Source organism: Homo sapiens, chromosome 3, assembly GCF_000001405.40.
Source record: "Homo sapiens chromosome 3, GRCh38.p14 Primary Assembly".
Lineage (NCBI taxonomy): Eukaryota > Metazoa > Chordata > Mammalia > Primates > Hominidae > Homo > Homo sapiens.
The window spans coordinates 161,237,609-161,259,793 of NC_000003.12; the positions used below are offsets into that span (position 1 = coordinate 161,237,609).

The 22,185-nt window shown below is 34.7% G+C and overlaps 1 protein-coding gene across 5 annotated transcripts in view, besides 2 other annotated features; it reads left to right on the plus strand.

Moving 5' to 3' along the window:
* The window catches only part of NMD3 (NMD3 ribosome export adaptor), a 32,431-nt gene extending 16,507 nt beyond the window's left edge, over window positions 1-15,924 (plus strand). For 3 of the 5 annotated variants that reach the window (XM_005247511.3, XM_005247512.2, NM_015938.5), the window contains exons 8-16: window positions 505-583; window positions 1,122-1,218; window positions 3,438-3,555; window positions 4,900-5,045; window positions 8,728-8,840; window positions 9,650-9,722; window positions 11,846-11,952; window positions 12,648-12,718; window positions 13,172-14,699. In XM_005247511.3, the coding sequence (XP_005247568.1) occupies window positions 505-583; window positions 1,122-1,218; window positions 3,438-3,555; window positions 4,900-5,045; window positions 8,728-8,840; window positions 9,650-9,722; window positions 11,846-11,952; window positions 12,648-12,718; window positions 13,172-13,302 (935 nt within the window). In that variant the 3' untranslated portion in view covers window positions 13,303-14,699. Of the gene's footprint in view, window positions 1-504; window positions 584-1,121; window positions 1,219-3,437; window positions 3,556-4,899; window positions 5,046-8,727; window positions 8,841-9,649; window positions 9,723-11,845; window positions 11,953-12,647; window positions 12,719-13,171; window positions 14,700-15,160 lie in introns of those variants that run through there. The other 2 variants (NM_001320227.2, XR_007095682.1) reach the window with 2 other exon arrangements.
* Window positions 16,180-16,380: a silencer, noted in NCBI's record as "peak4894 fragment used in MPRA reporter construct". NCBI's record gives its function as "represses an SCP1 promoter by STARR-seq MPRAs in K562 erythroleukemia cells {active_cell/tissue: K562}" and the evidence as "EXISTENCE:reporter gene assay evidence [ECO:0000049][PMID:32103011]".
* Window positions 20,080-20,280: a silencer, noted in NCBI's record as "peak4895 fragment used in MPRA reporter construct". NCBI's record gives its function as "represses an SCP1 promoter by STARR-seq MPRAs in K562 erythroleukemia cells {active_cell/tissue: K562}" and the evidence as "EXISTENCE:reporter gene assay evidence [ECO:0000049][PMID:32103011]".

Here is a 22,185-nt window from a genome sequence, read left to right on the forward strand (position 1 = left end):
GGCTCACTGCAACCTCCGCCAACTGGATTCAAGCGATTCTCCTGCCTCAGCCTCCCAAGTAGCTGAGATTTGGCACATGCCACCACGTCCGGCTAATTTTTTGTATTTCTAGTAGAGACGGGGTTTCACCAGAATGGTCTTGATCTCCTGACCTCATGATCCACCCAGCTCAGCCTCCCAAAGTGCTGGGATTACAGGCATGAGCCACCGCACCCGGCTGTTCATAAACTTTCTTTGTTCTTTGTTTTTCTGTCCCCCTTGGCCTTGAGTTTTATTTTTTCTAGAATTAGAATTACGAGTTTTATTTTCATTTGCTGATTTATTTTGTCTGTCTTTTTGCCAAAGAAGTCTTAAGTGATATCTCTAATCTGTTGTGACTACAATAGAGTTTTCTAATAATTTGATTTTGTTTAAAACAGATGTAATTTATAATATAGTCATGTTAGTAGAGGAGAATCCTATTTTGCATAATTATTTTCATAGGGCTTTTTTTTTTTTTTTAAGATGGTCTGGATTTTTATTATTCCTCAAAACAACATGCTCAGAAGATGGTCGAATTTCTTCAGTGTACAGTTCCCTGTAGGTATGTTCTGAACCTTGAATGTGACTAAATCTAAGGACTTGGGAATGGATGCGGATCACATATATTCTTCAGGCTCAGACAACTTCTCTTTATTTAAAATCGTAGTAGAAATACTTACACAATCAGGAAGCATATATTGGGTTAACCACCCACTCACAGAGGTGGTAGGACTTGTGCTCCAAAGATCGGGAAATTTTCATAGCTGGAGTTTATATTGAAAGGTACTATTAGTGTGAACAAAGATTTGCAGTGGGCGTTAGTATGGCTTTTAATAATGCTATATAGAAAGTAGATTGGTCTGAGCCAACAGCATGTTCTAGAGGTTTGGTGGAAAAGGTTCAAAATAGGTAGGGCTTAGTTAGAATGGTGAAGGTTTTGACATGCAAGTGCAGGACAGTAGGTTTTACCAGAGGAGGCATCATGAAGCCATTTTAGACCTTGGACAATGATGGTTTGATTTAATGAAAATTGATATTCCTGAGTCCATACAGGTTAATGATCTTTGTCTTTATATTACTACTAACTTTTTTCTTAATAGATACAAAGCATCACAAAGACTGATCTCTCAAGATATCCATAGTAACACATACAATTACAAAAGCACTTTTTCTGTGGAAATTGTTCCAATATGCAAGGTACTTTTCTTTTTCATTTAATCCATATCTGTAAAAGAGTACAAGTAATTAATTGGCTTATATGTAATTTGTAGCTCCTGGTTTTCCTCTAGGGTTGGTTAAAAATTTAGAATAAGTTCCTTAAGTGACTTCTAACACATTCAGCCATGTTAAAAGATATATATTTTTAAAAAAGTCATGCTTATAATTATGAATTGACATGCCTTTTATTTTGGTGTATTAAAATGAAAAGACCTGGTTATAGTTGATAAAAGTCCGTATTCTTTGAAATTTGTGATCCTATGAGCCTGTATCATATAGTTCAGTGAAATTGAATAAAAGAAATGACATTAAAATCAATATTAGTGAGCCACTTTGTGGAATATGTACAAACAAAATTTTGGCAAGAAATGAAAGAATATTGTGATAATGTGAAAATGAGATCATAGAATCATTTTTATGATTTTAAAACATAAGCTGAATAAAACATTTAAAATGTAGATTATTTCATTTAATTGTACTAAGATAAAACTCTGCTTCAGAAAAATATGAATTAAAATTCAATAAATAGTTATTGAGTATCTATAGTATAGAAGGCTGTGTACTGAGGATTGTATAACTACAGGTCTCTGCCATGTAAGAATTTATATGTCAGTATTAAATCACTAAGAATGATAACTGCCATTATTGTGACCATTCTACATAAAGTTAATCTAGATACTTTAGTGTCTTTCACCTCATTCTCATCTCATAATAACTGAGGTAAGCCATATCATTTTGACGATGAGGAAATTGAAGTTTGAGGAGGTTAGATAACTTGCCCAAAGTTACATGATCACAAAATGATGAAGCTAGGATTTGCACCCAGGTCTGTGTCTCCAAAGCTTTAAAACTGCTATTGCTATTTTATAGTATGTACTAGGGATGAAATGATAGCTTAAAATAGGGTCAGCAAACTTTCTCTGTAAAGAGACAGATGGTAAATTTTTTAACTTTCAGGTCGTATAATCTCTTTTGCAGCTACTCAGCTTTGCTGTTGTACAAAAGTAGCATGGGTAATATGTAAAGGAATGTCAGGGCCGTGTTCTGGTAAAACTTTATTTACAAAAACAGATGGTGGGTCAGATTTGTCCTGAGGGTGGCATTTTGCCAACCTCTGGTTTAAAACAGTAAATGTTTCCCTGGTACAAATCTTGAGAAATATGAATTTAGGTGTGAGGGCATATTTAGGCCTTGTGTAACTGAGTTTTACACATGTAAAAATTAACATATGTATTAAACTATGTAAAAAAGTATATTTGTTTATCTTTGGAAACTCATGTATTAAAAACCAAGGACTGAACTAAGAGCTGTTATGATTGTGAATAGATACACCTTAAAATATAACTCAGATCTTTTTTGTATTTTAATTCAGTTTAAAAACAGATAATTACGTTGCTGCTTCATGTCTCCCAATATAAATGTAGACATGTGACTTTTTTGGGCTTAAATCTTTGATTGTATATTGGCACATGTAGCCATGTAAGAGAAATGTGTTCCTTTGAAGTTTATTTTTTAATGGAGATTGAAAGAAGTCACAGGTGGATTTATAGAATCACTCTCCTGCTAATGTTTATAATACTCTGTTTAGAATGTACACTGTATTAACATATAGAGTGATAAGAGGCATTCACACTGCAATAAAATGGAAATAATAATAGCTTGGTGATTTGGGCCCTGGATTTTTTTTTTTTTTTTGAGAGACAGTTTTGCTCTGTCACCTAGGCTAGAGTGCAGTGGCACCACCTTAACTCACTGAAGCCTCGACCTCCTGGGCCCAGGCTGTCATTCCACCTCAGCCTCCCAAGTAGCTAGGCCCACAGGCATGCACCACCACGTTTGGCTAATTAAAATATATATATATATGTATATGGAGACAGGGTCTCCATATGTTGTCCAGGTTAGACTTGAACTCCTGGGCTCAAGGGATTCTCCCACCTTGTCCTCCCAGATTGCTGGAATTACAGGAGTGAGCCAGCGTGCTCAGCCAGGATTTTTTTTTTTTTAAAGCATTTTTATTAAGACAAGATGCCTGTCATACTTAAGGTCTGATTCTTTTCTTTAGTCTCTTTGTTGATTGATAGAATTGAAAATAACGTTTTGGTTGGTCAAATGCAATTGGATTGGGTGTTTATTGATGAGTGTTTATTGGACTGTTATTTAGGATATGCCTCATTCTAAATGTTAGTTCTTATGCCTAGGATAATGTTGTCTGTCTGTCTCCAAAACTGGCACAAAGCCTGGGAAATATGAACCAGATTTGTGTGTGTATTCGAGTAACCAGTGCCATTCACCTCATTGATCCAAACACCCTACAAGGTAAATTCTGGAAATGATTTGCCTTGACAATTTTGTTTTGTATGACAAACAATAATAATTTGTGTTGTTAATTTTTCAAGCATTCTTGCTAATATTGTTTTGAAAGGTTAGTTAAAATTTGTGCTATTGTTTAATACAAAACATTGTGGAATTTGCAAGCTTTGATTAGTTACTTTTGTATTTTTTATTTAAAGAAACAATTCTGTTAATTTTTACATATTTACTGGTTTATTCCATTAATTTTTACTGAAATTGACTTTTTTTTTTTTTTTTTTGAGATGGAGTCTGGCTCTATTGCCCAGGCTGGTGTGCAGTGGCGCAATCTCAGCTCACTGCAACCTCCGCCTCCCAGGTTCAAGCTATTCTCCTGCTGCAGCTTCCCAAGTAGCTGGGATTACAGGTGCCTGCCACCATGCCCAGCTAATTTTTGTATTTTTAGTAGAGACGGGGTTTCACTGTGTTGGCCAGGCTGGTCTTGAACTCCTGACCTCGTGATCTGCCCGCCTCGGCCTCCCAAGGTGCTGGGATTACAAGCGTGAGCCACCATGTCCAGCCTGAAATTGACTTATTTACCTCATTTAATTTTTGTGACTATTTACTTAAGTCCATTGCCAAAATTTGGTGTCTAGCAGTTATTTTAAATTTTGGAACATTTGGCTTTTTGTGGCCCATTGGAACATTTAGTTTGAATATGAATTTTAACCAATTTTGTTATTACTGTAGATCATTTTTTAACATTGTCTATAGAATAAATTATTTTTTAAGGAAGACCACATTTTGGTAGGTATCTTAGTATTTGGATGTATCTTCTGCTTGATCTTTTTCATGTATTTTCTGTAATATAAGTTTCCTTTATACAAAAAGTGAGTTTATTTTGATATTTTTCAAAGTCATTCATTATCTTTATCAGTTAGGATTCATAAGTTAAAGATCTGTTAGCAATATTGGGATGGACATTCTTTACCTATCTGGTAGAACTAGGCTTTATTTCCCATAAACTAAGCAGCTAAGGTGACAGATACGTTTCTAAAATAAAGTGCCAGCACGTGAAACAGCTGTACCACTGATTGGCTCTGATCTTACTTAAGAGGCACTTAGCCCTGTGGCATTCTGGTTATAGTAACTATTTAAGATATGTTTGACATCTGATATATTTTTCTTGTGCTTTGAGAAGTTTGGGATTGGTTTATAGGAGTAATTGATGACCCTAAGGAGTGAGTTGACACTAGTTCTGTTGACCTGCCACTTCCCAGTTGGTATCTACCAGTTTATTCTTAGTTAATACATTTGATAATTGAAATATATAATTTTTCTTATGTTTTTGTGTTCTATCCTTATTTTTAGTGGCAGATATTGATGGGAGCACTTTCTGGAGTCACCCTTTCAATAGTTTATGTCATCCCAAACAGCTAGAGGAGTTTATTGTGATGGAATGCAGCATAGTCCAAGATATAAAACGTGCTGCAGGTGCTGGAATGATATCAAAAAAGGTAAGCTACATCCTGCCTGCCAGTGTATTTTTTTTTCCCCTCAGTTATTATTGTTTCAGTCCCTCTTTTAAAAAAAATTTGTTGGTGTTTCCACAGTATGGAATCCAAACTTAGCACCACATTAGGAAAAAAATTCTTTTTTTTTTTGTCTTTTTAATATGTGGTCATTGTGGAAATTGTTAGACTTAGACTGTTAAGTTAATTTATTCTCTTTTGTGTAGGAAAAATCTTTTAAATGTTTATTCCATTATATTTAAAAAAGGCATTTCTTTGCTTTATTTTTATAGAGGAGGACCTTTATTTTTGTAGTGGTTATCTTGACTTTTAAAAAGTCATCACCAAATACTAAATACTTCAGTGTGCATCTCTCACACACAGGAATATTTTTCTACATAATGAAAATGTTGTTACCATACCTATAAAACATACAGTCTACACAGTATTCTGCTCTTATCCATGGGGATACATTCCAAGACCCCCAGTGGATTTTTGAAACAACCCACAATAGTACCAAACTCTATGTGTATTGTTTTTTCCTATACATACATACCTATGATAGAGTTTAATTTATAAATTAGGCACAGTAAGAGATTAACAATAATTAATAATAAAATAGACCAATTATAATAATATACTGTAATAAAAGTTGTGTGAATGTAGTCTCTTTCTTAAAGTTATCTAATTCTACTCCACCAACCTGTTTTTGGATAGCGATTAACTGTGGGCAGATGAAAACTTTGAAAGGGAAACTATGGATAAGGGGGGGATTACTGTGTTCAGATTTCCTCATTTGTCCCAAAAGTGTCTTTTATGCCTTGTTCAAACAGGTATTCAATTGGAGACCACTCATTAAATGGGAATATTATACCTTTTTAGTCTTTTATTTAATAATAGTCCCCTTCTTTTTTCTTTTATTGGTTATGATACCAACTTCCTTAGACAACTAGTGCATTTATCTTGTAGAATACTCCACCTTCTAAATCTATCTAATTGTTTCCTCATGATGCCATTTAACTAGCTTCTTAATTCATTGTGTTTCCTCTAAACTGGAAAGTTGATCTAAAGGTTTGGTTACATTTAGGTTAAATTTTTCTTGCCAGAATATTTCAGAGATGATGCCATGTACTTTTTATTATATCAAGAGACAAGTAATGTCTGACTGTTTCACTTGTTAACATAGTGATAGTCAGATTCCTCCATTGTAATGTTATGATTTTTTTTCCTTCTGACCAGCAAGCAATCTGTGGCTTAATACTATAATAATATGCAAGTACTGAGTTCCTGTTACCTCTTTTTTTTTCTGGCTTTAGCATCTGTTGATAATTCTTGCCCATAAATTAATTATTTTATTCAGGGTTACAAAATGGTGAATTTTCTATTTCTATTCTACATTTACTAGCTGTCATTCTTAAAGAAGAGCTTTTCATTATTAACTAGGGGTTATGTAGCTTTCCTGAAATGCTCGCCTGCATACATTCTTTTAATTAATTAATTTTAGACATGATCTTGCCGTGTTGTTTGGGCTGGAGTGCGGTATGGCTTCATAGCTCACTGCAGCCTCAAACTCCTGGGCTCAAATGATCCTCCTGCCTCAGCCTCCTGAGTAGCTGGGACCACAAGTATGTGCCACCATGCCCAGCTAATTTTTTAATTTCTTTGTAGAGATGGGGTCTCCATGTTACTCAGGCTGGTCTTGAACTCCTGAGCTCAAGCAATCCTCCTGCCTTGGCCTCCCAAAGTGTTGGGATTACAGGCGTGAGCCACCTCCCCTGGCCTATGCATAAATTATTAATTCTTTTAGCAAATATTTTTAGAGTAAAGAGTTGATCTAGGAATCATTTCCAGTGGTGAAAATTAGCTTACATGTACAGGTGGTGTCTCTCTTTGTGATTATCATTGTGATCTCCTGAAGTATAAGTATTGTATCATTTACTGTATTTTCTTTTGTTTTCTTCTTCTCTCCTCCTCTCCCTTCATTTCTTTTCCTTTTTTTTTTTTTTTTTTAAAGAGACAAGGTCTCACTCTGTCTCTCAGAGCTGGAGTTCAATGGTATGATCATAGGTCACTGGAACCTTGAGGTTGTGTGCTCCAGTGATCTTACCACCTCAGCATGCTGCCACACCTGTCTCATTTCTATTTTTTAATTTTTTGTAGAGTCAATCTCACTGTTTTTTCAGGCTTGTCTCAAACGATCCTACTGCCTCCCTTATAGGAATGAGCATGAGCGCCTGCCCTTTCTTTTTTTTGAAATCCTCATATTGCCCTAAATTTATTCAATGGGAGCCCCTTCAGAATGGTTCCTATGTTGTTTTGACGTGACTCTCCTGGTCTTTGAAAGCATCCTTGATTTCTGGTGCAACACAGCATTCAGGTGTTCCAGAATCACATGTATAGTTTATAACCCATATCTGAAATCAAATGTTTCTTCAAAGATGAAAGTCTGGCTTCTTTTACTGTGAAATAGTATCTAGAGACTCCCAGGGTACCCTTGTGTGTGTGTGTGTGTGTGCGTGCTAATAATGCTTCTTGAGACAAAAATAACTTGTGATAATTTGGGAAAAATTAATGGAAATGGAAGACAGATGACATTCTACATTTTATTTATAAATTAAGGTAATGTACTTAGGGCAAACTTTTCATTTATAATAAATGTAGAGTATCATTTCCCTTCAGGCAGATATAAAACCAGATACTGTATTTTCTTGGTTTTTAAAAAATAGCTAGAAGAGGTTAATAAATTTCTTACAAGCAGAAGTCTAATAGCTAGAAAGTAAATCCTGTTAAATAAAATGTAGTCTCCCTGTTAATTGACTTTTCTTTTGCAGTTCTTAAGTTTGAGACTTGTCTTTTATTTCAGTTTCTCCTTCTGCTCTATTTCTTTTCATTTTTTTCATTTCTTTTTCTTTGACCAACTGCAATAAGAAACACTTGATTCTTTTCATAACTTTATTTTGAGATTCCTTAATTTTATTTATAACTCTTAGTATTTTTCTCTCGATCTCACTTCAGTTGGTCTGTCTTTGTTGTTAAAGGTGTTGGCATGTTAGAAAGGGAATTAATAGTTTTCTAGTTTAAAAATTGGGATGTTGTTTCTGCTATATATATATTATATATAGCAGATGTACTATATTATATATAGCAGATGTAGAGAATGATTGTAGTCTACACTAGTAGATACTTTAAAAATTAATTTGATAAAGATTTGGCCTCTCTAGTGGTTTACTACCAGGATTTCTAGGCTGTTTTGTCTGGACCCTGATTTTCTGAACCCTTGTGTCAAGCAAGAGTTTGCTTGGAATACGTTCTTGCTTTAAGATTCCCCTACCTTTTCAGTTATTTTGTTCACTCTGCCTATGTTGGCCCATCTTCCTGTGAAAACATTTCTTTTGAAAATTCTACATATATATATTTTTAGGGACATTATTAATGTTTTATAAAAGTCTTGAATAAAATCTTAGAAAAAGTCAATGATTTATTTTTATGAATTGTTTGTGAGTCTTTCTATACTCATGATTCAGTAATTTGTTAATTTTGACAGTGTTTCATACATCAGAAAAATACAAAAAATTTTCTGTCTTTAAAAATTAGAAAACCAAAAATCAATATTGTATTTAACTTTTCTCTGAGATGCTTTTAGAGTTATGTTTAGATTATTGAAGAGTACATTTTCTTTCCTCTTAAGCATACCCTCGGGGAAGTCTGGGTACAGAAGACATCTGAAATGAATACAGATAAACAGTATTTTTGTCGTACTCATTTGGGACATCTTCTAAATCCCGGAGACCTGGTGTTAGGGTTTGTATTATTTCATATTTTAAACTGCCAATTAGGATTGCAAATTTTCTTTGGGAACCAGCAAAACTACCTAAAAATACTAACATTGTTTATTCTAAAAAGATCGAAGGGTTCTTAGGAGCCTTATAACTCATTTTATTGTTGATAACTAAATTAAACTGGGTTGGACAGAAGCCCATAGTTACTCCATTTTGGTTATAATCTTAAAGAGTAATTTGTTGTAAGATTTTGTTAATTGAGCCTTGAAGTTATATGGTTGTATCCATATTTAGAACTGCTTTTGCAGATTGGGTCTTTTTTATTGTGCAGTTGCTACTGCTCAGATAACTCACTTTTAAGATATGACAACTATATATATACAAAGGGCTTGTAAAGGCATAGATCAGTTCTTTCTGAATCAGAGTTTTTCAGTGAGTGTGTGATTAAACCCTCAAATATTGCTTTTGCTTTTAGGATTTCAGTTTCTTTTACTACAGAATGAGGTGTTTTTTTTTTGTTTGTTTGTTTAAAATAAACTAGAAGGAAGCAACTAATTGAATTCTAAAGTTGGACTGATATGTAAGTCTGTTTTGCTTTTACAAATGTATGGCAAGGTGGACAATAATTGATTATAAGTGAAACTCAGAGTTCCTTATTGTCTTTACCAGCATCTACAGAAGCATGTTCATTGTGTAATAAATGACAGAACTTTTAAAGTGAGAAGCATATTAAATGTTTGATTTTTAGGAAGTTTTAGGTGATAGCCATAAAATAAAAAGTTACACACAAAGGGTAAATGGTCACTAAGTTTTTCATTGTTTACATTTCAGGTTTGATTTGGCCAACTGTAACTTAAATGATGAGCATGTCAACAAAATGAACTCAGATAGAGTTCCAGATGTGGTAAGGCTTTAGATTTTTCCCTTTTTTCCTGTGTTAAAGAGGATGAATGTAACTCTTAGGGGTAAGAGGTAGGAGTTCACACTTTTGAAAATAACAAATCAATTTAGAGATTTCTGAAACTGCAGATAAGGTATAATAGCAAAATTTTTTTTTTTTTTTTTTAAAGAAACAGGAGGCTGGGTGCAGTGGCTCAAGCCTGTAATCCCAGCACTTTGGGAGGCCTAGGCAGGTGGATCACCTGAGGTTGGGAGTTCGAGACCAGCCTGACCAACATGGAGAAACCCTGTCTCTATTAAAAATACAAAAAAATTAGCCAGGCGTGGTAGTGCAAGCTTGTAATCCCAGCTACTTGGGAGGCTGAGGTAGGAGAATTGCCTGAACCGAGGAGGTGGAGGTTGTGGTAAGCTGAGATTGCGCCGTTGCACTCCAGGCTGGGCAACAAGAACAAAACTCAGTCTCAAAAAAAAAAAAAAGAAATGGGAGTCTTGCTTTATTGACCAGGCTTGCGTGCAGTGTCATGATCACTCACTGCAGCTCAAAATTCTGAGCTCAAGTAATCCTCCCACCTCAGCCTCCTGAGTAGCTGAGACTACAGGCACATGCCACCACTCCCAGCTAATGTTTAAAACACGTTTTGTAGAGACGGGGTCTTGTTATGTTGCTCAGGCTGGTCTCGAACTCCTGGCTTCAAGTGATCCTCCCACCTCAGCCTCTCAAGTAGCTGGGATTACAGGTGTCACCTATCATGCCTGGCTTCATTTTAAATAATTTTTCTTGGTGGGGTAAATCCAAGATTTATTGTGATTGTTCCTTTTCTAATCACATTTTCATTCTCGATCAAAATACCTGATATTATCTGTAGAGCAAAAATAAATTTAGCCGGGTGCGGTGGCTCATGCCTGTAATCCTAGCACTCTGGGAGGCTGAGGTGGGTGGATTGCTTGAGCTTAGGAGTTCGAGACCAGCCTGGAAAACACAGTGAAACCCCATCTTTACTAAAATACAAAAAATTAGCCAGGCGTGGTGGCATGCACCTGTAGTCCCAGCTACTTAGGAGGCTGAGGCAGGAGAATTGCTTGAACCTGGGAAGTGGAGGTTGCAGTGAGCCAAGATCATGCCACTGCATTCCAGCCTGGGTGATAGAGCAAGATTCCGTCTCCAAAAGATAAATAAATAAATTTGCAGCTAAAAATGATGACATTTAGCATTTTTTCAGGTTCATTTTTATTAGGCTCACTTCGTTTCACATACATTGTTCAGTTAAGAAGGCATTTAGAGTTAAGGCTGTTATTCAAAGCTGAATAAAATATCCGTGAAAAATAATCTTCACAGTATCAAGCCTTGGAAAAAAACTATTAATTCTGAAAAATCTGTTAAGTTCTAACATGATGAGGTTAAGAATCATGAGAAACTGAATGAAATTAGTGTGAAAGACCCTGTCTTCTATACTTGCTTAATCTTTTAGAATAAACATTGATTTCTTTAGCAGTGAGCAAAAAAAGTAGAGCCATGACAAATCAAGGACTCCGACCACCTGCCCAGTTGTACTTTTATTAGTTGATAAATTAGGAATTAACAGCGTGGTTGGAGTGTAAGTCTAAATAGGTATTTCTAACAAGGTCATAAGAGGAGATCATGGCAATCTTACAATATTTTGTATTTTGTAAAATTATTTTCATTCTATAATTTATTAAACAAGCGTTCTAAGATACATTGTTGTGAAAGTTATATATAGTTCTGTAAATGCTTATTGGTGGGTATAAGAGAAAAAAAGTATCTACTTGTGATATTCAGAATGATTTATATGAATGGTAGCTGAAAACTGAAGTTTGAGTTAAAAGAAAACTACAGTTTTTGTTATTAAGAAAAACAGTATTCAGTCACTGAAAAATTTTAGCAAATTTTAACAATTGTACAAATAATGCTTGAATCCATTCTCATAAAAAGTTAAATACATGGAGAAAAATTTTAAAAGTCCTCTTGACACTGTCTCTCCATCCCTTCTCCTTTCTCCTGAGGTGTAACCAGTGTCATTAGTTTGGTCATTTTTTAGCTTTATTGAATTTTGTGGCCTCACTGTATAGTTCCCATTCTTTGTAACTTTACAAATATTTATCTTGCAGGTATTAATCAAGAAGAGCTATGACCGGACCAAACGTCAGCGTCGTAGAAACTGGAAATTGAAAGAGCTTGCAAGAGAGAGAGAAAACATGGATACAGATGATGAAAGGTCTCGCTTTTCTTTAAATCTCTTATGTTGTCTCAAAGGAAATATTTATGATAAATACTTTTTATGTTGTAAAGAAATAGGCATCACACAATTGATCCTTGCACTCAATTATAATCTTGGATTCTTATCAAGGTATTAATGGAATCAGTATAAGATGATGTAAAGACATTTAACACAGATTTAGTAATTATTTCCTGGTTTATGACCTAATAATTGTAGTGTTAATGTAAACAATTCATTTGAAAAGTTAAAATATAATCATACTTTGCTTAACAATGGGCATACCTTCTGAGAAATGCATCATTAGGTGATTTTGTTGTGTGAGCATCATAGAATATGTGGCACATGACTTTATAATAAATAATTACATTATGAATATCACAAATAGCAGATGAGTACTTATGGCTTGAGATAAAAAGGAAACAGCTCATTGATGCCAAGTGTGTTATTCCTCAAATAATTTAAGCAGAAATGAAGACAGTGTTCTAAAACAGTTTATTGGATGATTCAAAAAGTGGCTTTAATGATGGTGAAGACACCGATGTCTAAAAAAACTGAGAGTTTATATAAAATTGTTTCATGAAATGTGAGTTGGAAACAGCAGTATGTCTACATAGTCCTTAAAATGAAAGTCCTTAAATGAAGAAAATATAACTATATTTTTGGTGATGAAATATTTAAATGTTTATTTAAAGGCAATACCAAGATTTTCTTGAAGATCTTGAAGAAGATGAGGCAATTCGAAAAAATGTCAACATTTACAGAGGTTGGTGTTCTAGGAGTGTTTAAGTCATTTGTTCTGTATATAAGTATAGTTCCTAGTATGAATATTTTGGTATCTTAAGCTTTGATTCTCATAAATGTCTTTAATTGTTTTTTCAACTACTCTAGTCACACTTCTACAAAAAAACTTGCAAAACAATAAATAAAACTTAACAAAATACTGTTTTGTATATTACAGTTAGTATTATTTGCATTCTAGCTTGATCCCTTAAGTTGCTCACTCCTATAGTGGTGGAAGTATATTCTTACAGTTACTCAGTTCATTTGTTCAGTGAATGTAATTTGAATGACTGCTGTAAGAGACAAGAGCTTCTGATACAATGTAGTTACATAATAATAATGATAAGGTAGATATTTGTATATTTTCAAATATATTTAATACTTTGTATACATATAAATACTTTGTATTTATTTTATTCTCTTTGTATTTTTTTAGATTCAGCCATCCCTGTGGAAAGTGACACCGATGATGAAGGAGCACCTCGAATTAGTCTGGCTGAGATGCTTGAAGACCTTCATATTTCCCAAGATGCCACTGGTGAAGAAGGTGCATCAATGCTGACATAATGAGATGTTGTAGACTGTTTCCATACATGGGCTTAAGAAGTTGGACAGAGTTACCTTAAGTGTCTCTACTATCTTTGCCTCCAGATTTCAAGAGGAGAAATTTAGTTTTAAACCTGAATAAACATGTTTGTTTTCAGTGCTCACTCAAACCACTAAAACAGATGGATAGCTTTGAGGTTTTAGATAAGGAAAGATTATGGAGAATGTAGTTGTTATTGATTTTTGGCAATTTTACATTTGGAATTTTATCACTGTGCTTTTTTATATGAGGCACTGTAGTATTTTCACATAGTATAGTACTCTGGATGTAAAAGCTCAAAAATTGTGATTCCTTGAACGTTCACTAAATCTTCAAGCAAAAACACATTTTTACATTATTTTTACGTTGATTATTTTAGTGAAAGACCATATGAAGAAGCATTTTTAATATTAACTTGTTACATACTTTGATCCACTTTACATCATTTTTATGTTGTTGAGGTAGGGAAATTAGGGTTCAGTTTATCACTGGACATTCAGGAGGCAAGTCAATCTTTTTTATTTCCTTATAAAATTAACTCTTCAAAAGCCGTTAAACAGAGAGTTATCTTAATTTTTATTGCAGTAGGAGGAAATATATTTAAAATATTTGTAGATTTATAGCAAATAGAGACTCGTTATTTAAAGGTTAAATAACAATTTGTTCTTTTGTTGTTTTTGCCAGTTTAGGGCAGTAGCTGCTTTTGTCATAAATATCTTCCTACCACATCAAAAATGCTGCTTTTAAAATTTTTGTTTATAAATTGAGAAGGAATTTTCTCTCTATAAGTTTCTGTCATTGAACAGATCACCATTAAAAAGAATATTAGAATCCAGCATGAAGATAATGGCTAATAAAAATGAGGTACATACTTTATAAAACCATTAATCAGATTTGAATGAGGAATGCTTCCCACATCCTTGAAAGAAAAACTGTGGCTTACGTTTTGAAGTATTCTGAGAATGAAGTATTAAGATCCAATTTCTATAAGCAAGATCAGACTTGTTAAGTATGCCGCAAGTAAGAGCTAATTCATTCATTCCATGTGTGCCACTAAATAAAGAGATTGAGCAAGTGCCACTGTGTGGAACATTTTTCTTTTTTTTAATATTGGACTTTCCAATTTTGAAATTATGGATAAAGTCCTAAATTTTCTATAGTGGCTTCTTTTCTGTCTGCATATTTTGTTAAAATTGTGGATCTAAAAGCCATATCCTGTCTTTGGTGGTGGCCTGGTAGGAATGGCTTGTCCTAGTTCTTCAAAGGTAAGATTGACCAAAGCAAGTTCTCATTGGTGGTCTGTGTTTACATCTTCCGTGTCAAGATATTTTAAAGCATGAAAATAAAGCCATTCTTGCCCTTTTTCGTGTGTTTGAAATGGTCGCATTGGTGTCATATTTACATGAGAAAGTATCTTACGCAATTTTCCAAAGTAGAATTGTTAATGTTATTTAAGTACTTTTATAATCTTCCCACTGAAAAATATAGTTTCCCACTAACCTTATTTAGTCTTACTCATTTATTTAGTCTTACTCATTTTGATGTTCTATTAAGTATTGAAACTTCTTGGTTGAAAGGCTGTGACAGGCAAACGAATGTAGCTAAGAGAAAAGCTGTCATCCAAGAGCTTGCACAAAGTTAAATAACCTTGATAAATCTACCATACTATATAGTAAGGTTCCCATACTCAAGAGTCTTGTGGGTCCCCCAGTATTCTTAGTCATATCCCAAAGTTGTTATGGCTTGGGAAGGCTGGTATTAATCAAATGCACAAGAACATGATTTATAACCAATTTATAAATATAATTTACAAGTCATTATGACCATTTTTTTTTGTAGCCAAATCTGCACCTGAAGCTGCTGATTTAGAGTCAGAAGTCACTGAGGGGCCAAGTGTGGTGGTTGACGCCTGTAATCCCAGCACTTTGGGAGGCTGAGGAGGGCAGATCACTTCAGGCCAGGAGTTCAAGACCAGCCTGGCCAACATAGTGAAACCCTGTCTCTACTAAAAATGCAAAAATTATCCGGGCGTGGTGGTGCACACATAGTCCCAGCTACTCGGGACGCTGAGGCAGGAGAATCACTTGAACCCAGGAGGCAGAGGTTGCAGTGAGTCGAGATCTGGCCACTGTACTCCAGCCTGGGCGACAGAGTGAGACTCTGTTCCCCCACTCCCCCAATAAAAAAAGTCTGATGAGCAAGAAAAGTTCAGGGGTAGAGTTGCTTGTGTAATTGAGATGTTTAACAGCATCAGGCTAATTCCTTGCCATAGTAGAACCCAGAAGCTCTGAGCTGTGTGCCAGGAGATACCTCCCTGGTCAGTACTTAGTACCAGAGTTTTCCCTAGATTCTTTAATTTTAGTAAATGTGCTCACATTGAGTCAATCCTTACATAACTGGGTATGTTATTTCCAGCCCAAGGAATGTTTATTTTTAAAAATATTTTTAATTATCCATAATTTCAGACTTACAAAATGTCGCAAGTATTCCCGGATACCATTTACCTAGATTTGCCAAATGTAAACAATTTGCCTCATTTGCTTTCTTTCCCCTTCTCACTAATAATTTTTTCCTCAACATTTAAGAGTAAAATGCAGACATGATGCTTCTTTATCCTTTAAATATTTCAGCATTCCCCCCCCGCTCAAAAAACAAGGAATTCTCGAATCACAGTGTAGTGATCACTATCAGAAAATTAACATTGACACAAAACTGTTATCTAATTGATAGGCCGTATTAAGATGTCAGTAATCTCAATAAAGTCCTTCATAAAAATAGTAAATCTAAGATTCTGTGTTGTGTTAGGTTTTCATATCTCTTCAGTCTTCTTTAATCTGGACTAGTTCTGAGTGTAATGTTTTATGTAATTGACATTTTTGAAGAGTCCAAGCCAGTTGTTTTGTAGAGTGACCTCAGTTTGGGTTTGTCTGATGTTTTCTCAAGATTAATTTTAGGTTATGTCCTTTTGGCAGGACTATGCCAGGAGTGATGCCAAATTCTCAATGCATAGTATCAGGAAGCGTGTGCTGTTGATTAGTCCAGATGTTCCCAAACTTGGTTATTTGTTGGTTTTCTGTTGTAAGGAAGAGCTATCTCTTTTTTCATATATTTGCTTATTCAGTTGTTTTTCATGTCATTGTGGACTCTTGAATTTTTACTTTAATACAGTGGGATCTAGCCCTTTGCAATAGTTATTTTTACTTGATTTTTTAAAAATTTATTTTCAGTGTACAGTGAAATTTCTCTTTGATGTACAGATCTATGACTTTTAACACATAGATCATGTAATTACCACAGTCGAATTATAGAACAGTTCTATCACATCCACCCCAAAAAAATTCCATGTTTTTTTTTTGTTTTGTTTTGTTTTCAAATCCTCCCATCCCTAACCCCTGGCAACTTCTGATCTGTTTTCTAACTTCATAGTTTGCTTTGTCCAAAATATATAAATGAAATCATGCAGTATGTAGCCTTTTAAGTCTGGTTTCTTTCACTCAGCATGGTGCACTTGAGATTCATCTAAGGTGTTGTGTTCAAAGTGGGTTCCTTTTTGTTACTGAGTAATGCATTATCAATATCACAGTTTATTCATTCCTATGTTGAGGTATGTTTGAGTTTCTAGTATTTGCTGATTAGTGGTAAAGCTGCTGTGAACATTTCCGTACAGCTTTTTATTTTACTTGGGTAAATAACCAGGAGTGAGATTGTTGCATCCTATATTTAACTTTGTAAAAACCTGTCAAACTATTTCCAAAGTGGCTTGTGCCATTGTGCTTTCCCACCAGCAGTGTATGAGATTTTCACTTACTCTGCATTCTTGTCATATTTTGATATTGTCAGTTTAAAAAAGCCATCCAGATAGGTGGATGGTGGTTTCTTTTTGTGATTTTAATTTGCCTTTCCCTAATGGCTAATAATACTGAACATCTTTTCATGTGCTTATTTGTTATGTATATCTTTTTATCAGTAAAACGGCTGTTCACATCTTTCATCTATTTTTAAGAATTGGGTTGTGTTTTAGTTGGGGTTGCTATAACAGAATACCATAGACTAGGCAGCTGAATAAAAAAGCAAACCTTCTTTTCACAGTTCTGGAGGCTAGGAAGTCAGATCAGGGTGCTAACTAGCATGGTCAGATTCTGGTGAGAGCCCTCTTCCTGGTTTGCACATACATGGCTGTCTTCTTGCCATCTTCTCACATAGCAGAGTGAGAGCTCTCTAGTATCTCTTACCTCTTCATAAGAGCACTCATCCCATCAATAAGGGCTCCACTTATGACCTAATTACCTCTTAAATGACCCACCTCCTAATGCCATCACATTAGGGATTAGGGTGTCAACAGATGAATTTTGGGGCACCATAAACATGCAGTCCATAGCAGGTTGGTTGTTTTCTTGTTTTTTATTTTGATGTTCATATTGTTCCAGACTTGGCCAGTGGGTACCCCTCCAAGCTGGGGCTTACGTCCTTTGGACAGGTGCTTCTCTGTATTTGATCTTGTTCTTATGCTGATATAACTTTTTGGGCAGGATTTGAATTTTTCTTGTTCAGGCCCCACATATAATCTACTCTTAGCTTATTTTGCATCATGAGGAACCAATGTACTTAAAAATAGGGCAGTTTGAGTTGAGTCATCTGTGATTTAAGGAATCATGAAATGGCTTCATAAAAAACACTGATGTCAGTGTTATGTATTCTCAGCTTATCAGTTCTGTCACATGTTGAAATAACTTGATCAGTGGGGTAGTGAGCCTTGATGACAGCAAGAAATCAGTCTAGGTATCTTTCTGTACTCAAAATAATGTGATAAGAAAATTGAATTTTAGTTGATTGACTTGATACATTTTGAAAACTGTGTTATTGTCTAGGGAAGAGACATGATTCAGGGTGACAAAACAAGATCTGTAATAATTAAAGGTTATTTGGAATAGGTTGGGCAGCCACTATGTTTCTGTAGCAATGTTGCTTGTATTGTTTTATCTGATGGCAATTTTATTTTGTTTTTGTTGGAGTCAGCACTGCAGTGGTGCCTGTCACACATTTTCCTTCTGAAACAGTTTCGTATAAATAAGGTCTTTATCACCTGCTTCACAGCATTTTTGTGAAGTACTTTAAGGTAAAATATGTACTAGAAATAGTTTATTAAGTGCTAGACAATTCTTGGGAGCTGTATGATGGAAATGAAAATGTTTTGGAATCAGCTTACCTGTCACTTATTAGCTATATGACTTAAACTTTCTGAACACCTATTTCTTCAGTTTGTTAAAAGGACATAATACTGTTGACTACATAAAGGATTGCTAAAATTCTTAGCATAGTCAGTATGCAACAAATTGTAATTCAATAGTATCTGCTTTCAAAATTTATAAACAGTTTTAGTGTTTAGTATTTAAACAAGTTGAGAAATGACTTGTTTCTTGTTGCATTTTGTATGCCTACACTTTTTAGAGCAGCATAGAGTCATAGAGTTTGTTCTAGAAAATTCATATGGTATAGGGAACCATAAAGACAAATGTAGGAATTACCCATAATCCTACCACAGGGATTCACTGTTAACATTTTGTCATTGCTAACATTTTGATACTTTTCTTTTTTAATAGGCTTTATTTTCTATTTAGTTTTACACTTAACAGAAAAATTAAGAAAACACTGCAGGGAGTTCCCATATACTCCATACCCAGTTTTCCCTATTAACATTTTATATCAGTATGATATAAAATATAATTATATGCTTGTTATAATGAGCCAATGTTGATACATTATTACTAACTAAAGTCCATATATTTAGAGTTCTTAGTTATTATCTAATTTTCTTTTCCAGGGCCCCATCCAGGGTACCACATTGCATTTAGTTGTCATGTTTCCTTATGCTCCTCTTGGTAGTGGCAGTTTCTCAGATTTCCTTTGTTTTTGATGATCTTAACAGTTTTGAGGAATACTGCTCAGTTATTTTATAGGATGCCCTGCTACTGGAATTTGTCTGATGTTTTTCTCATGATAAGATTGGGGCTATAGGTTATTGGGAGAAAAACTGCAGAGGCAAAGTACCATTTTCATGACATAATTTCAGTGGTGCTTACTATCAATATGATTTCTCACTGTTGATGTTGATCTTGATCACCTGACTGAGGTAGAGTTTGTCAGGTTTCTCCACTGTAAAGTTACTCTTTTCCCCCTTTCTTTACTGTACACTTTGGAAGGAAGTCACTGCACAGCCCACGCCTAAGAGGTAGTGAGTTACACTGCCCCTCCTTAAGCATGGGATATCTATGTAAATTATTTGGAATTCTCCTGGATGGGACATTTGTCTCTTTTTAATTTACTAATTATTTCAATCATGTTTGGCCATATGGAGTCATGAATACTTATTTTATACTTGGTGTTATAATCTGATACTATTTTAATTATTTTGTTCGAATTGTTCTAGCTTTGGCCATTGGGAGCTCTTTCAGTTGTCTCCTTTGGGTGTATGGTCCTTTGACAAACCCCCATCATTGTGTTATGGTGTGTGTGTGTTTGAGCATTTCCTTACATTCTGGTACTATAAGGTGTTACAGACTCATCTTGTATATTTATTGCCCTAGAATTGGTCATTTTTTTCTAGGAGCTCTGGTTTTATTTATTGGAGAATGGTTTTAGAAACCAACATCTAGGTGCTCAGTATGCTTGCTGCTACTGAGGTCATTTCATTTAGTTCCTCTCAACTGACAGAGTAAAAAAAATGCTGTTTTACTAACCTATGTATTTATATATATTTATAAATACTTCTATATGTACCAAATCTATCTACACTAAAGTACACATGAAGTCATACTGATGTCTCCAATTATAATTAATTACTGCATGGGTCAGTCTAGCTTCCTGTCCTTGTTTATCTGTGAACTCCCATTCCAACAGTGTAAAACCTGATTTCCACCATCTGCCACCCATTTACTTAATTATTACATTCCAGTATACAAGTATAGTAGTACAAGAATTATTAATCTGCATCCTGTAAAAAATAACTTTGTTAACTACAGTAAATGTTTTATGTGCAGTTCCCTTTTGCCCTTAGTCTTTCAGACTGTACTCATTTCCAGAGTTATTTCGGTCAGCACCTTTAATGCAATTGTTTCATATACTTGTAAAAGAGTTAGTCTTATCATAGTCTTCATTTCTTCCTGGGATCACCTGACCTCCTAAATGACTTTTTTAAATTTACTTTTTGTGTTGTAAATTTCTACAGTTTTGACAGATGGGTAATGTCTTGTATCTGCATTACAGTGTTAGAATTTTACCGCCCTAAAAATCACCTGTGTTTCCCCTATTCATCCTAAACCCTAAACTCTTAGCAACCACTAATCATTTTACTGTCTCTATAGTTTTGCCTTTTTCAGAATGTCGTATAATTGGAATCATATAACATGTAGCTTTTCATACTGGGTTCTTTAACTTAGCAATGCATTTTTAATGTTGTATGTATTTTGTGGCTTGTTAGCTCATTTCTTTTTATTTGCTGAATTATATTCTATAGTATGGATGTACCACAGTTTGTTTATCCATTCATCTATTGAAAGACATCTTGAGTACTTCCAGCTGTTGGTGATTATGAATAAAGTTGCTATAAATATTCATGGTCAGGTTTTCCTGTGAACTTAGGTTTTAAAATCAATTGGATAAGCACCTAGAATCATGATTGCTGGATCTTATGGTAAGATTGTTTAGCTTTGGAAGACACTACCAAACTGTCTTCCAAAGTGGCTGTATCCTTTTGCATTACCACTTTCAATGAATGAGTGTTCCTGTTGCTCTGCATCCTTGTCAGCATTTGGTAGTGTCAGTTGTTTATAGATTTTAGCCATTCAAATAGGTGTGCAGTAGTATCTCATTGCTGTTTTCATTTGCAGTTCCCCGATGACAACTGATGATAAACATCTTTTCATATGCTTATTTGCCACCTGTATATCTTGGTGATGTGTCGGTCCAGATTTTTGCCCATTTTTAAATTGGGTTGTTTTCTTGTTATTTTAAGATGTGTATTTTAGATGATAGTCCTTTGTTAATATGTATTTTACAACTATTTTCTCCCAGTCTATGGCTTGCCTTTAATATATATATATATATATATATATATATATATATATATATATATGGGCTGGGTGCAGTGGCTCATGCCTGTTATCCTAGCACTTTGAGAGGCCAAGGTGTGTGGATCACCTGAGGTCAGGAGTTTGAGACCAGTCTGGCCAACATAGAAAAACCCCGTTTCTACTAAAAATAGAAAAATCAGCCAGGTGTGATGGAGGGTGCCTGTAACCCCGGGTACTCAGGAGGCTGAGGCAGGAGAATTGCTTGAACCTGGCGGGCGGAGGTTGCAGTGAGCTGAGATCGCACCACTTCACTCCAGCCTGGGCAGAAGAGTGAGATTCTGTCTCAAAAAAAATTAATAAAAAATAAAATAATACTAATATATATGAAAATAATTTATGTATGTGAATTATTTATATGTAATATATATACTTACAGATGATTATATAGTGGTGAGCTCATACTGTATATACAGTTTTTGTGCCTTCTTTATTATTATAAAATAAACGCTTTCAAAGCCATTAATTCTTTGTAAATACATTTAATAAAACAATATTCCACTAGTAGATTACAGAATATCCCCAATTCATCACTCTGCCCTGTGTCTGTGCCTTTTATCCTATAACTTATAGTAGGATCAAATAAATATTTAAGGCTTTAGAGGTTATATGGTCTCTATCACAACTACTCAGCTCTCCTGTTGTGGCATGAAAGGGCCATAGACAATGTGTAAATGAGAGTGGCTGTGTCCTAATAAAACATTATTTTAAAAAACAGCAGGCCTGCTGACCCTGATG